The following is a 17512-nucleotide window of genomic DNA, read 5'->3' as shown; positions in this document are numbered from 1 at the left end:
ACTGCAGTGCTATCAGTCCTACCTAGTTCAAAGCATATTTAGCCGGCTGCAATAGCCTCCTGTCACTAGAATTCTACCTCCACAATTTGGTTGAAGTAATTTTTAAGATGCAGTAAGATTGTGTCAGTCTATTGAAAACATCAGTGTGTTCTCATCACAGTAAAACACAATTCAAACTCCTTTTCATGATATGGCCCCATGTGATCTGGTTCCTGCTACCTCTTCAATCTCTTGGCCTTTCACAGTGGTCTTCCTGCTGTTTGTGAATATGCCAGCTTTGTTCTGGTCTTTGTCTTTGCATTGGCTGTTTTGTCAGACTCAGGCTCTTCCCATGGCTCCATGTCATTCAAGTGTCAGCCCAGTCTTTGCAGAGGAGCCTTCCTTGACCATCCTCTTCAAAATAGCACCCATCCCCCATCTATCCCATTACCTGTTACACTTCGTTTTATTTATGACACACCTCACTAATTTGATTTGTATGTCTCTACCTGGCATTCATCTCCGCCTCACCCCCCACCTTCACCGCCATTGAATATGTGGTCAGCCAACAGGAGTCCTGTTTACCCTATTCACTACTGTGTCCCTAGTGTACATCACATAGTAAGTGTTCTTTACAAAAGAATAAAGAAAAACTTACTCATTTAATCTCATGCATACCATGTCAGAGCATATGTCACCATAACTTTCCTTTGGATGAATCCCAAATTGTATTCTTCCCACCTACCTCCTCCAAGATTCCACCTTCATCTTTATACCCTTTCTGAATTGCCCTTTGTAATATTGGAACTATCTTAACTCTAAATATATAAATATAATATATGCAAGTCTTATTTAAGAATGCGTTGAAGTTTAGAAAAGTAAGGTGCCCAAAGTAACACAGCTATAAGTGGTATTTCTAGGATTTAAACTTAGATCTCTCTCTAACTAAAGCTCCTCTGCTATGCTGGTGTGGAGGCTGATGTTCTTGGTAAGTGGGAGGTATAAATCCAGAATTAGAATAGGAGCCCTGTCCATTGGAATAGAAATAGCAAACATTCATTGTTTGTTTCTATAAGAAGAACTGGGTGATATTTGCTAACAGAACCTTTAAAAAGTAACCTGAATTTTTTTTGGACTAAAGTTAATGTATGCTTGTTATAAAATACATGGAATATATGAAAAAATGTAAAGAAGTAAAGACCATCCATAGTTCTTCCACTGAGAGATAACCACTATTAACATTTTAGAATATTTTAATCAAGTATTTTTTATGTAAAAATATTGTGATGATTTTTGTGCATAAATCTTGAATTTTGAAATCATTTCCTAATGTAATTACTAGATCAAAGCATACTGTCAAATTTGTTTCCAGAAAGATGATGCCAATTTATATTTCCAATATATTTAGTTTCCATTTCTGGAATTTTTTAAATATTAAACTTGTAATATATGTTTGTTATTAATTACCTGCTCTATCTATAGGCATACCTCAGATATTGTGGGTTCAGACTATCACAGTAAAGCTAATATCACAATAAAGCAAGTCACGTGAATCTTTTGGTTTCCCCATGCATATAAAAGTTATGTTTGCGCTGTACTGTAGTCTATTAAGTGTACAGTAGCATTATGTCTAATAAAAACAATGTACACACTTTAATTTAAAAATACTTTATTGCTGAAAAAGGCTAACAGTCTTCTGAGCCTTCATCAAGTTGTAATCTTTCTGCTGGTCGAGGGTCTTGCCTCAGTTGATGGCTGCTGACTGATCAGGGTGGGGGTTGCTGAAGGTTGGGTGGCTGTGGCAATTTCTTAAAATAGGATAACAATGACATTTGCTGCATTGATGGACTTTCCCTTTCATGAAAGATTTTTCTGTGGCATGTGATAGTGTTTAATAGCATTTTTATCCACAGGCAGAACTTCCAAAATTGAAGTCAGTCCTCTCAAACCCTGCTTTATCAACCAAGTTTATGTAACATCCTGAATTCTTTGTTGTCATTTCAGCAGTGTTCACAGCATCTTCACCAGGAGTAAATTTCAACTCCGGAAACCACTTTCTTTGCTCATCAGTAAGAAGGAATTCCTGATTAAATTTGAGTGTTATGTGGACAAGTTTCATGGCGCCCCAGACAATTACAATAGTATCATTAAAGATCACTATCACAGATCACCATAACAAATACAATAATTAAAAAGTTTGAAATATTGTGACAGTTATCAAAATGTGACATAGAGATAAGAAGTGAGCAGATGCAGTTGGGAAAATGGTGCCAGTAGACTTGCTAGGTGCAGTTGCCACAGACCTTCATTTTGTAAAAAAAATGCAGTGTCTGAAAAGCACAATAAAGCAAGGCATTCCTGTATCTTCTGTGAGTTGTTTCTATTGGCTCTTGTTTTTGTTGTCAACTTAGTATTTTTATATCAATTTTTGAATTATTTTGTATTGAGAAAGAACATTTTGTCATATTTGTGGGAAACTTTCCCTTTTTTTGCCTTATTTTTAATGTCCTACTTGTACTGCCAGATCTTAACTAGTAAGTCTTTAGTTGCTGTAATGATGTAATAATAGCAGTACGTTTATTATTAATAAAAGTTTTTAGTATTTTATAAATCTCGCACATGTAAACTTTTTGTCTTCAATATACTAGTTTGATAAAGATTTTAATATATTGCATTGGCTAATTGTCAGTAATTAATGACTAGTTATCTCTTCATGTTTTTAATATATGGTAAAGGTGACAAGATAAATATTTTTCTAGACCTGAGAATGTGGAATGGGAGGGAAAAATTTTTATGCGTGTAACTGAATGTACTACAGAAGCACTCAGTGTTAAAGAAATTGCCACACATAATCTCCCCCTAAATCAAGTATTTTTAATTTTGTGATGTTATAGTAAGAAAAATAGAAAATAAGACCCATTTAGACAGATTAGTTTTCTGAAACTTTTAAGTTTTTAAGGAGAATTTATATCTTGCAAACATTTAAAGGGATTTTTAAATAATAATAACATACAAGAGGACAATTTGAAGGTAAAAGCAGAACATAGATTACCTGCAATCTGTAGAAACATCATTATTCAGTTTAATGTTTTCTTTGTCTCACAATGAAAATTCTCCAAATTCATTTTTGGAGAAAAACTTTGTGGAAGTGACTTTAAGGATTTTGGTGGTTGGCCTCAGCTCATTTCTATTTGAGGTGTGGTTTTTCAAACTTTTTAGAGGTTTTCCACCCTCTTCTCCCCATCAGTGGTATTTTTAAATGTCTTTATTTTAATGTTAGGACACCTTAGAGCAGGATTCAAGTGGGCTGTGCAAGAAGAACCACTGGAAATAGAAAAATAAAACTTGAAGATTTTACTTGTATTTATTTTTAACTTTAATTTTTTTGATCCTAGTTTTATTTATTTTCCATAGAGTGTTTGTGTATATAGATAGATAGATAGATAGATAAAGTTAATAGATAAGATAATAAGTGCTTTAAAATTTTGGAGACTGCTGCCTCAGATAATCTGTTAAATTACTATGCATTATTTCCACCTCCTCCAAAAATGGGAGTGGGGGAGCCTGTATAGAAATGTTTGTAACACTTCAAACATTTGGGGGTTCTTGAAGTTCACTCATCATACCCCTAGGATACCATGTATCTATAACTTTCTTTGCTTCCTGAGTCCAGTTGCCCTCAGCTTTTTCTCTACTGATTTATTTGACTTTATTAACCAACTCTGGTTTCAGTTCTTAAGGTTACAGCCTAGGATTAACTCTTAGCACAGCTGACCTTGTCCACTGATCTGTTCCGACTTCAGTATGTTTGGTTAGAATATGTGCTTCTTAAGAGTGGATACTGTTTATTTCACTTTTGTAAGCCCAGTGCTTCACACCAAGTAGATATTAGCAAATATAGAAAGTGAATCAAACCATTATCAAGTCCTGTCAGTGACCCAGTCCTACGGAGAGTCCAGCTGTCTGCTCTACCCACACTTCCTCCTTTTTCTCCTTCCCACAATGCCATCCCTTTCTCTGCGGTGGCATTCAGTCATTTCTGTTCTAAAATACCATATGCCATCTCAAGGTGGCTACTGTTTTTTCTTAGAATGACGGAGGATTTCTGGAGCACTTCTTGAAGTGGTATAGCATTCACAGTCTCTCATATAAAGCTGATGGACGGCAAGGTCAGAATGAGGGGGCAGGTTTCCAGCCCCTTAAAGACTTTACAAAGGTCTCTGGATTTCTCCTGGGGACTTCTTTCTTTAATAGATGGGTCCCTGTTGAGTAGCAGGATGACTATAGGCAGCCCTTACCTTTGGTAATCTGTGGGACATAACCCCAGGTCAACATACCCTCTTTGTTTCAGCATAAAAGTATGGGACTAGAGAGTACTAAGCCAAAAGGCAGTGGTTATAAAATTCTGCCTGTTAGGAACTGGATCAGCTTGTTCAGTTATGACACCATTGGTGTCCAGTAGAAATATACTGTGAGCCACATGTGTAATTTTAAATTTTGTTGTAGCCATATTTTAAAAAGTAAAATGAAACAGACGAAAATAATTTTATTTAACTCACTGTATGTAAAACTTTATCAATTTAACATGTAATCAAAATTAGAAAGATACTGATATATTTTATAGTTTTTAGATAATAAGTCTTCAGAATTCAGTGTGTATTGTCTACTGGTAGCACATGTTGATTCTGACTATCACCATTTCAAGTATTCTATAGCTACAGATGGCTAGTGATTCTCATTGGACAGCATAGCTCTAAAAATGAACATTTATGGTACATATTGCTTGGGAGTCGGGGTACCACTTCTATAGATTTGCAGTAGCAATATATTACAGGGTTATACACATTTCTTCCTCTTCAAAACTTAAGTTTAATCGTTGGGGAATATCAAGATACTGTATAAATTGGCTATATTTTTAGAGGGATTATATAGTTTCAAATATGAGAGGATGGCAAAGTTTTTACATTTATTTTGCTTTCTTTGGGTTGGGCTGTATCTTGGTTTAGGGGGGAGGGAATTTTAACCTTAAATTGCTATTTTATGAGAAGCTATGCTTTTCACAGCGGGAACAGTGCTCATCCTTCTTTAGACAGATTTTTAGGTTAATGGAAGCTTCATAAAGCTTTTTAGGTCTGGTTCTCATATCTCCTTGCATTGAGGCATTATTTTCTCTTAAAAAAAATACAAATATGAAAAAAGGGTTTTTTTTTGTTTTGTTTTGTTTTTTTAAAAAGTCAAAAAGGCCTATTCAGTTATATGGAGGTAGTCTTACTGGTTAAGGCTACTAGCTAGTGCCCTTGAGAAGTATGAGTAGATAATTCTTATTAAAGAATGCAGATGACACTGATTTGCAGACCAAGCACCTTGGATTTGGAATATTGGCCAGAGGACCCATGTTTTATAATATGAAAGTCAATAGGATAAAAATTTCTTAAATCTATTTTGGAACTGCTTTTCACTGTTTTATTATTTATATCCTCAGTTGTTTAAATCAACAATTTCAGCCAGGCATGGTGGCTCACGCCTGTAATCCCAGCACTTTGGGAGGCTGAGGCGGGTGGATCATCTAAGGTCAGGAGTTCGAGACCAGCCTGGCCAACGTGGTGAAACCCTGTCTTTACTAAAAATACAAAAATTAGCCTGGCATAGTGGTGTGCGTCTGTAGTCCCAGCTACTTGAGAGGCTGAGGCACGAGGATCGCTTGAACCCAGGAGGCAGAGGTTACAGTGAGTCAAGATTGCGCCACTGCACTCCAGCCTGGGTAACAGAGCGAGACTCCATCTCAAAAGACAGACAAAAACAATTTCAACTCTTAAAATTGTCAAAGTAATTTAAACAACATTACTGAAAGTTTGATAAAGAATAATTAATAGTTCAACCACCAAATATTATTTTTATGTATTTCCTATGTTTATATACATATTTTAAGGTAGTTTTGATCATTTGGTACATTTAATTTTATAGCTTTGGGGGATATAATTCCTTTTCTTTTTTTTGAAACAGGGTCTCACTCTGTCACCCAGGCTGTAATGAAGTGGCATGATCTCAGCTCACAGCAACCTCCGCATCCTGGACTCAAGCAGTCCTCCCACCCCAGCCTCTTGAGTAGCTGGAACTACTGGCATGTGCCACCATGTCCCGCTAATTATTGTATTTTTAGTAGAGACAGGATTTTGCCATGTTGGCTAGGCTGGTCTTGAACTCCTGACCTCAAGTGATCCACCTGCCTCGGCCTCCCAACGTGTTGGGATGACAGGCGTGAGCCATCACACCTGGCCATGTAATACTTTTTAAAATGTGGATTTTTACAGTTACTTAGTCTTCATAATAAGATAACATTTTATTTTGCTGTCATGTAGTAGGTTGGAGATATTCTATTCTGCTCCATGAAGTAATACAGGGATCCACTTGTCATGGTTGTACAATTTCACACTTCAGTCTGTGGGGAGGAGAAGGAGGAAATTCAGGACAGTTTGCCATTGAGGAGGTGAGCAGGAAGTTCTGCTATTTCTTTTACTCACATTGCATCATTGGTGAGAACTTAGTGACACGGCTATGCCTACCTATAAGGGAGGCTGGGAAATGGAGCCTATGTGACTGATTGTATGCTCAGGAAGAACATGAGAATAGATGTTTTGGGAGACAACTAGTAGTGTGCCACAATTTGAATAAAATTAATCTTACTAACTTTTGTCAATGGGAAGAATTAAGAAGTTTACAATGGAATAATTTTTGTAATTTTAACTTTTAAGGATTATGTAATGTATCAGTTGTGTGTACCATGGTTTTATTAATATCTAGCTCTGCTAAATACTTACATTGCTTTAATTTTTTTGCTGTTAACAATAACTTTGTAAGGACATGCTAATTACAGCTTTCTCCATATTTTGGTGTTATTTCTTTAAGGATGGTTTTTATAGAAGTGGAATTATTGGTCCAAACAATTTGAACATTTTAATAGAATTTTTATTTCTTAAACAAGTTTTCTTTTCTTTGAGACAGGGTCTCGCTATGTCACCCAGGCTGGAGTGCAGTGGTGTGGTCCGGGCTCACTGCAACCCTGAACGTCCGTGCTTAAGTGATCCTCCCTCCTCAGCCTCAGAGCAGCTGGGATCACAGGCATGTGCCACCACACCCAGCTAACTTAACATATATTTTTTTGTAGAGACAGTGTCTCACTATGTTGCCCAGGCTGGTCTTGAACTCCTGGCCTCCAGTCCTTTCACCTTGGCCTCCCAAAGTGCCTGCATAACAGACATGAGCCCTTACACCCACCCTTACATTACTTTTGTAAAGCAGCCATTTCAGTGCTCTGGAGGTTGACTAAAGGCCAATTGTATAAAACTTTGAAAAATGTTATGCTCTTGAATTTGGAGTGAGAACAGTGGGAGTCAGTGGCCATTCTAGCTTGAGGCTACTCACATTCCCCCAATTCTGCCCCAGCTTGGTTGGCATGAAGGTACTGCCAGTGAGAAGCAGGACATAAGGACCTCAGTTTGAAGGGGGCTTAGTTCTTTGGAGTGGTGGGTAATGTTGTGGATATGAATTTCCAGAGGTACAAGGGAAGACCAGGGGCTCAGCTCAAATAGCCTGAAGATTCAGTAGTGTTTGGGGCAAGAATATTCCTGGATGAGGCTGTGCATGTGCTCAACAGAGACCTTAGAAAGCCTAAGGTATTCACATACTTTTGGCTGGTTCCAAAGGTACATGCTTGCACATAGGAGACTTGAAATTTCTCTCTTTGGGAAGTTCAACTCAGAGCAAACTTGAAAACAGGCTGAACTTTGAATGCACTTCCCTGCCCACACACATGCCCATCAACAAAGATGGAAGCCTTGCTATCTTGAGGTATTTGAACACAGTCTCTGTTGAGTGTCACAGTAACTACTAAATTGTGCAAAGGGACAACTAGGAAGGCAGGCTTAAAAATACAAAATGAGAATATATTAAAAAAATGAGCAGAGATATCAGTGATTGTGTACAACAGAGGAGACAGATTCCACATATTTGTCTTGATCATGATGCTAAACAAAAAAACAAAATGGCAACACTACCTTTAATGGGGAAAACAGAATTCTGAGTCACTACATTATCTAAAATCCCTAGGTTTAACAACAAAAAAAATTATAAGACGTAAAGAAACAGAGGGTGACGCATACACGAGGAAAAAAAGGTCAGTAGAAATTGTCTCTGAATGTCCCTAAATACTGGATTTAGTAAAGACTTAAATTACTATAAATATGTGAAAAGAACTAAAGGAAATTTAAAGTATAACAGTGTCAACAAATTGAGATTCTCAACAAGAATATAGAAATTATTTTTTTAAATAACAAAAAAGCTGGCTGGGTGTGGTGGCTCATGCCTGTAATCCTAGCACCTTGGGAGGCCGAGGCGGGCGGATCACGAGGTCAGGAGATTGAGACCATCTTGGCTAACACGGTGAAACCCCATCTCTACTAAAAATACAAAAAATTAGCTGGGCGCAGTGGCAGGCGCCTGTAATCCCAGCTACTCAGGAGGCTGAGGCAGGAGAATGGCGTGAACCCGGGAGGCGGAGCTTGCAGTGAGCAGAGATAGCGCCGCTGCACTCCAGCCTGGGCGACAGAGTGAGACTCCATCTCGAAAAAAAAAAAAAAAAACACTCCTTGATATGATGAGATATAATGAGAGGGACTTCACCTCTGTAGTGTTCTCCCCTAAAACCTATAACCTGAGTCCGATCATGAGAAAACAACAGATAAAGCCAAACTCAGGCTTATTCCATAAGAGCACCTGACTAGTACTCATCAAACCTGTCAAGGTCATGGAACACAAGGAAAAACTGAGAAATTATTACAGGGCAGAGGAGATCAAAGAGACATGATGACTAAATGCAATGTGGCATCGTGTATTGAATCATGGGCAGGAAAATAACAGTAGAAAAACTGGTGACAAATAAAGTCTATATTTTTGTTTTGTTGCACCAATGGAAATTTGTTATTTCTGATAAACGTACCATGGTTATGTAAGACATTTCCATTATTATGTCTGTTAATGTAAATGTGTTATATATAGACATGTTTGTGTATTTGTAGATGTGTGTTTATGTATATGGTATGTAAGTATAACACAGTTATGTAAGATATTAATTAGCATTAGGAGAAAATTTTGACATTAGGGAGGCATATATAGGAACACTCTACTATCTTTGCAACTTTTCTGTAAATAATTTATTGCAAAGTTAAAAGTTTTAAAAATCAAATGGAAATTCTAGAGTTGAAGAATACAATATCTGAAACTAAAAATTCACTAGAGGGGCTCGTAGCAGATTTGAGATGGCAAGAAAATGAATCCATGAACAACAGACCAGTAGAAATTATTCGATCTTGAAAACATTTGAAAAAGGATGGAAGAAAATTGAACAGAGCTCAGAAATCTGTGAAAAACATTAAGTGTACTACAGATGTGTAATGAGAATCTCAAAAGGAGAAAGGGTCAGAAAAATGACCTTTTGGACAACTTCTCATATTTGATGAAAAACATTAAACTACACATCCAGAAGGTCAGTGAATGTGACTAGGATTAATACAAAGAGACCCATGCCTAGACATAGTCAAACTCCTGAAAGATAAAGAGAGTATCTTGAAAGCAGCAAGAGAAAATCAACTCACTACACAAGAGGGAAGCATCAGCAATGACTAAGGGCTGCTTTCTCATCAGTATTGGTGGAGGCCCAAGGCAGTGGGGTGACATATTCAAAGTGCTGGAAGAAGAAAACTGTCTGTGAAGAAGTCTATATTTAGCAAAACTAACCTTTAAAAATGAAGGTGAAATAAATACATTCCTACAGAAAGACAGAATTTGTAGCTATCAGACCTACCTTATAAGAAATACTAAAAGATTAAGTTCTTTAGGTTGATAGGAAATGACACCAGATGGAAACTCAAATCCACAGGAAGAAATGAAGAGCACTGGAAATGTCAATATGTAGGTTAATATAGAAGACTATAAATATATTTTTTCTCATCTCTTCTTTAAAAAGCATTGAATTCTATCTAAAAAACAAATTTAGTATCTAACATTACCTTCTGCACATTCGTCCTAGTTGTAAGCAAATTGCTTTCACCTCTTTGCCTTTTGATTCATAGAATAGACTGTGATAATGATACTCAAAATTTTTTGTTTCAGGATTCTTTTCCACTTTTATTATTCTGAGAACTCTAAAGAGCTTTTGTTTATGTGGGTTTTATGTACTGATATTTATTGTATTAGAAATTAAAACTGAGAAAAGAGCTAAATATTATTCATTTACAAGAAATACCAATTACATGTTAACATAAATAACATGTGTTAAATGAAAATAGATATTTTCCAAAATGAAGTAGGAGAGTGGCATTGCTTTACATTCTCAAATCTCATTAACGTCTACCTTAATAGAAGACAACTGGATTTCACTTTAGGCTTTGCACTGAATTTGTTATAGTGTGTTGCTTTGGCTGAAGTAAGTGAAGAAAATCTGGCCCCACTAAGATGTAGTCGGAGGTATATTTTAAAAGCCCTTTCATATAATGGTGAAAATTCTGTGATATGACAGTAAAACTCAAGAAGTGATAGTTTTGTAAAAGTTAGTTACAACATAGGATCTGAAACCATATCAACGAATTTTTTTGTACTGTTACATTAAAATCCATTATTCTATCAATGGATCTTAGCAATGTATAATTCTATCTCTAAGACCCTTTGAAAAGGTATTGGGTCTCCCTGTATGTAGCACACTTTGAGAATCATCTGACTATTCTTTCATTTTTAACATTTATTGGAATTTTAGTATAAAATGAACACATCTCTCTTTTTTCTTAGGAAAAGTTTTAAAACAGTTAAAGTTGCTTCAGTGAGCACAGATATTTTTTGTGTCATGACTGGGAGTTAGTTTTGCTTATCTTTTGCCTAGTTCTTAAATCTCAAATTTTGTTTCACAACTTGGTAATCAGAGACCAGATCCTGTCTCTAAAGTGTAAAAAGGTAAACAAAGGTTTTCTGTCTGAAGTAATTAGATTTGAAAAAAACTGCTAGGGTAATTGAGCCTTGCATTAGAATGTTATTTAAATGGTTTAATTAGTATTTGAGATTTCTAAATTTAATGGCTCTTATAAGTTAGGGCTTAGTTTAAACTCTCGAAAGCTGGGATCATAGATTATCTATCATTACTATGTATTTAATTTAAAACCTAGTTATATCAACATCACCATTACTGTGAATACATTATAAATATTGTCAACATTATTGTAAATGTGTATTATTCTTTGTGGCAAAATTAATTTTTTTTTTTTTTGAGATGGAGTCTCACTCTGTCACACAGCCTGAAGTACAGTGGCGCAATCTCAGCTCACTGCAACCTCTGCCTCCTGGTTTCAAGCAATTCTCCTGCCTCAGCCTCCCGAGTAGCTGGGATTACAGGTGCCCACCACCATGCCCAGCTAATTTTTGTATTTTAGTAGAAACGGGGTTTCACCATGTTGGCCAGGCTGGTCTTGAACTCCTGACCTCAGGTGATCCATCCTCCTCAGCCTCCCAAAAGTGCTGGGATTACATGTTGGTCAGGCTGGTCTCGATCTCCTGACCTCAGGTGATCTGTCCTCCTTGGCCTCCCAAAAGTGCTGGGATTATAGGCATGAGCCACCACACCTGGCCAAAATTAAATAATTTAGAAGGATATAAAATACACTTAAAGGTAACTTCTTCTTAGCAATTCCCCAGAGTTAAGCAATGTTTATAGTTTCCTGAATGCTTTTTCTGAAAATTTGTTCACATATAAAGATAGACATCTTCGTATGTATTATATGTGTACGTATTATATATATACACATATGAAAGTCCTTTTTTTTTTTTTTTTTTTTTTTTTGAGACGGAGTCTCGCTCTGTCGCCCAGGCTGGAGTGCAGTGGCGGGATCTCGGCTCACTGCAAGCTCCGCCTCCCGGGTTCACGCCATTCTCCTGCCTCAGCCTCCCAAGTAGCTGGGACTACAGGCGCCCGCCACTACGCCCGGCTAATTTTTTGTATTTTTAGTAGAGACGGGGTTTCACCGTTTTAGCCGGGATGGTCTCGATCTCCTGACCTCGTGATCCGCCCGCCTCGGCCTCCCAAAGTGCTGGGATTACAGGCGTGAGCCACCGCGCCCGGCCGAAAGTCCTTTTTAAGCAAATGGAATCATACTACATATTGTTCTATAAATAAATGTATCTTGCACATCTTTATATCAGTATAATAGGTCATTTTCATTTAATCATCTGCTTAGCATCTGTGTTACTGCATTGGTTATGTAAGCCAAGGTCTTCAGAAAAAAAAAATTCAGTAATGAAAATACCACTTTTAAAATTAGTTTGCACTCAAATGTTGCTCCTGACCATTTATTAGCAATTTTAATAAAAGAGAATAAAATCATTTGCAAACTGAAATTGCTCAACTTGCAAAATATGCAGGTGTTTATGAAGTTCATGGGTGTGATATTAAAGAACTCAAAGCTATTGACAGTTGAAGAAGAGAAAATTATCAAGGTTGATGATATAATAGATGCTGTAAGGGAGCCTGATTTGACTACCAGACGATTAAAGAGAGGACCTTAGGAAAATGGATGGAACCCTTCAGAATTTTTGCAAGAATATCTTCTTTGTAATTGTCCCATAAGAGAAAAACATGAAGGATATCCAATCGTGCTATTATACAGTTTTGTCAAAAAGATTACATTAAAAAATAAAGTCAATGCTTGATTCATTCTTTTAGTCTAAGAATTTTGCAGTTGAAATTATAACTTAATTTTGTCAAATATAAAATAAACTTGTTTTTATATTTTTGTCTTATTTTTCAAGTCAAAATTTGAAAATCAGCTATCATTTTCAATATTTACAATTACATTTTGGTTCCTGGTCTAAGAAGATTCACTAAATGGTCTTTTCCCAGTTCATACCAATCATCTTTGAAAAACTAGGATTTCATAACTTTCTATGAATGGACTGTAATTTAATCAGGTCCCTACTAATCAAGATGCTTAGGCTGTTAACAGTTTTTTGGTTGTTGGGTTTCTTGTATTTTTTTTTAATAGTACTTTCAAACAGTGCTGCAGTAAATATTCTGTGCATATATATTTACATTCCTATGCTAATATATCTGTGACATTCATTTCTAGAAGTGGTAGAACTTGGGTCAGAAGCTATGTGCATTTACAACTTTGATATCTCTGAAAGGGTTATGCTAACTTACATTCTCACTACAAAACTGTATGTTTTGTATTTTTATTTGTGTTTTTCACAGTGCCTACTGTGTCCAAATCTTTTCCTTTTCTTGAATTAGCACAGTGAGTTCAAATGGTGAGGGATATGGTGTTATCCAAATCTGTTTAGTTCCTGAGCAAGTGTAGGGACAGTCCAGATAATGAGGGTTCATTTGAAAATTTATTCTAATGTGTTTGGTTCCTGAGTTGGCTAGTGAGCCTTTTTGAACAGTGCGGGTATCTGTTGTTTCTTTCTCGTTATCTCCATACCCTTACTGGCAGTGAGGTGTTATCAGTCTTTCGAATCCTTGCCAGTGTGATAGGTTAAAATAAAAAGGTATCTCATTAGGTTTGTTTTGCTTCTATTAAAAGTGGTGCTATGCATGTTTTTATGTTAATAGCATTTGTATTTTTCAAAAATACGTATCTGGCCATTATCTTGTTGCATTGTAAGAGTAATATAAGAAAAATAAGGTTTTATTACAATATTACCAATATTTTATCTAATGTCTTGTCTTTTGACTTTTTATGGTAGTTTTTTTGTGTGTGGTGGTTTTATTTAATTAAATGTGTCATTTTTTTTCCACTTTTAAGGCTTCTGGTGCTATATCATGCTTAGAATATTCTCCTTACTACTTCAAGATAATACTTCCATTGTTGTGTTCTTATACAGTTCTTTTACATTATTCTTTATGGTTCTGCTTCCACAGTTTGTTTTTCATGTTTTGATCTTTGCTCCATCTGGAATTTATTGTGGTATAAGGAATAAGGCAGGAATTTAGCCTTTCCTCCTCTATTTACTAGCCAGTTTCTCCGAAATCATTTATTAAATACTGCATCTTTTCTCCATTTATTTGAAACACCACCTCTATCACATGTGAAATTCTTGTGCATGTATTTTGTTCTATTCCTGGACTTTTTTTTTTTTTTTTCTGTTTTTGAAACGGTCTCGCGCTGTCACCCAGGCTGGAGTGCAGTGGTGCATTCTTGGCTCACTGCAGCCTCCACCTCCTGAGTTCAAATGATCCTCCCACCTCAGACTCCTGAGTAGCCGGGACCACAGACACATGCCACTCTCCTGGCTAATTTTTTGTATTTTTTGTAGAGATGGGGTTTTGCCATGTTGCCCAGGCTGGTCTCCAACTCCTGGGCTCAACTGATCCACTTGCCTTGGCCTCCCAAAGTGCTGGGATTACAGGTGTGAGCCACCTCGCCTGGCCTGGACTTTCTATTCTTTTCCATTGATCTGTCTATTCATGTTCCAGTATCAAACCATTTAAACTAATAGTTTAATAATTAATTTTTGTATTTGATAGGATTATTTTTCTCTTTTCCCCCTCCCTGACCTTGCGTGTATGTTTATCATTCTAGAAGAATCTATCATTTGTCGAAAACTCCCTTCTTCCCTCTAACTACACACCAAGTATTTTTACTGGAATTGTTTGAATTTGTAGTTTAGGGTTAATTGGCATTATTAGACCATGTGAGAGTTAAAAGGATTAATCCAAATAAAGTGCCTAGAGCAGTGCCTGGCATAAACAGTCAAAGGAGAATAGCTGCTGTGCTGGATATTCCTTTTATCCTTCAAATATATTCTCTACTCTTCATCTTGCTCTCTGCTGAAAGAGGCTAACCTCTGTGGAATCATCCAGCCTCTCATGCCGTCTGGCTTCTCGTTGGGTTGGCCAATGGGAGGCCTAGCAGGAGATGGGCGGGTGGGAGGAGAGAGAGTTTAGGGTACATTTCCCAGCTTTTCCCCCTGGAGGGCTGTGTTTGTTCACCTAAGGCCACATTTCTTGTCTTCTCTCCCACAGTGAGAGTCTTCACTAGGGTTCAGTAGTAACATCTTCCCACTATTGCTAGCCCCTGGGTGCTGCACCCTGGCCAGACCTCAGTAAACAGTCCCTTCATGAAGTTCTCTTTAGTTACCTCCTTGAGTTTGTCATCAGTTTTCTGCTGGGAACCTGACTGGTAAAGTTGCTCTCATCTTCCTCCTTTTTTTCTCCACTTCCTCCTCCTGTTCATTTTAACCGCTAGCACTGAATGTTCCTATTCCAGTCTTCTCTATCCTTCAATAGAGATTTAAATTTTCTTCATAGAGGCCTTTACAATTTTTGTTGTTTACACCCAGATTTACTTTTATTTGGTTGCAGATATAAATTTTTTCCCTCATTATGTTTTCTACCTAATTGGTTGTATGTGGGCAAACTATAATAATTTTTGAATTAATTTTGTAAATCAGTTGTATATTAAGTTTATTGTTTCTAATAGTTTTTCAGTCCCTTTTCTTGTCTGTTTCATAATCACCTGCAAATAACAGTTTTACCTTTTTCTTACTTTATTAGGAAATATTTATTGGGAATGATTGTTTCTTAAAATATGTTTGAATATTAGGAGTATTTATATGGGAGTGATTGTTTATTCACATGATTTTGGGTCATTTATTGAGATACTTTAAGTTTTTCACCTTTGCTCTAATATAGTAAATTACCTTAGTGGATATTCTAATATTAATTTATCCTTAAAAAATAGGATGATTTTTACTTGGTTAAAATATATTGTTCTTTTAAAACAAAAAAAAATGTATTATTCTATTGATGACTACTTGCTAATATTTTATTTAGGGCTTTTACAGCAATACTTTTTTTATTACACTTTAAGTTCTAGGGTATATGTGCACAACATGCAGGTTTGTTACATATGTATACATGTGCTGTGTTGGTTTGCTGCACCCATTAACTCATCATTTACATTAGGTATTTCTTCTAATGCTATCCCTCCCCCATCCCCCCACCCCATGACAGGCCCTGGTGTGTCACGTTCCCCACCCTGTGTCCAAGTGTTCTCATTGTTCAATTCCCACCTATGAGTGAGAACATGCGGTGTTTGGTTTTCTGTCCTTGCGATAGTTTACTCAGAATGATGGTTTCCAGCTTCATCCATGTCGCTACAAAGGACAGGAACTCATCCTTTTTTGTGGCTGCATAGTATTCCATGGTGTATATGTGCCACATTTTCTTAATCTAGTCTATCATTGATGGACATTTGGGTTGGTTCCAAGTCTTTGCTATTGTCAATAGTGCTGCAGTAAACATATGTGTGCATGTGTCTTTATAGTAGCGTGACTTATAATCCTTGGGGTATATACCCAGTAATGATATCGCTGGGTCAAATGGTAATTCTAGTTCTAGATCCTTGAGGAATCGCCACACTGTCTTCCACAATGGTTGAACTAATTTACACTCCCACCAACAGTGTAAAAGTGTTCCTATTTCTCCACATCCTCTCCAGCACCTGTTGTTTCCTGACTTTTTAATGATCACCATTCTAACTAGTGTGAGATGGTATCTCATTGTGGTTTTGATTAGTATTTCTCTGACCAGTGATGATGAGCATTTTTTCATGTGTCTGTTGGCTGCATAAATGTCTTCTTTTGAAAAGTGTCTGTTCATATCCTTTGCCCACTTTGTGATGGGGTTTGATTTTTTCTTGTAAATTTGTTTAAGTTCTTTGTAGATTCTGGATATTAGCCTTTTGTCAGATGGGTAGATTGCAAAAATTTTCTCCCATTCTGTAGATTGCCTGTTCACTCTGATGGTAGTTTCTTTTACAGCAATATTTCTTACGGAAATCAATCTATAGCTTTCTTGGCTTTTCTAGTGTCATGTTGTGGTAATGCTAATCTGTTGACATCCTTGGATTTTTTGAGGTAACTTAAAAAGAGTAATGCAGTAAAGAAAATATTTTTAAAACTTTTTTTTGATACAAAGATCTTCAAAGCACTGAGCAAATTAACCTGTTACCAGAAAAACTGGCATCATAACTTCCTGATTATAAAGCTGTTTTTCTGTATCAAAGTGGAACAAAATACGGTTGTTATAAGACTTTTAATGTTTATGTAATGAAGCAGTGGCATATGATACCATCTTTCATTTGATAGTCTTCATATACTTTATCTCATCCTGTGAAGAGGAATGGGTGTTATTAGCTCCATTTAACAAATGAGAAGATTTAGGTTCAGAGAGATTGCTCCTTGCCAGAGGTCACATGGCTAATAAGGTTTAACTCTAGAACCAGAAACCAAATCTTCTAACTCTTGGTCCAGTGCTACTTCACTTTACTATATCCTCTTTAGGAGTAGAGGTTATGCAATTTCATGAATCAGATCACATTTTTTTCAAAGCGATTATGTGTGAAGAATACAGCACTTTTCTTATAATGCATATTGTAAGTTATGACTACATTGTCTTGAGGTAGAGAACAAGTTTATAACTTTGTATTATAAA

General features: G+C 36.5%; 1 protein-coding gene across 3 annotated transcripts in view, besides 1 other annotated feature; it reads left to right on the top strand.

The window, feature by feature from the left end:
- The window catches only part of PDE7A (phosphodiesterase 7A), a 127731-nt gene that overhangs the window by 15694 nt on the left and 94525 nt on the right, over positions 1–17512 (top strand). The window lies entirely within an intron of this gene.
- Positions 13270–13470: a silencer, noted in NCBI's record as "peak7055 fragment used in MPRA reporter construct". NCBI's record gives its function as "represses an SCP1 promoter by STARR-seq MPRAs in K562 erythroleukemia cells {active_cell/tissue: K562}" and the evidence as "EXISTENCE:reporter gene assay evidence [ECO:0000049][PMID:32103011]".

Source organism: Homo sapiens, chromosome 8 (genome assembly GCF_000001405.40).
Source record: "Homo sapiens chromosome 8, GRCh38.p14 Primary Assembly".
NCBI lineage: Eukaryota > Metazoa > Chordata > Mammalia > Primates > Hominidae > Homo > Homo sapiens.
Note: the sequence above shows the minus strand (reverse complement) of the source record. Positions and strands in the feature narration are given on the sequence as shown.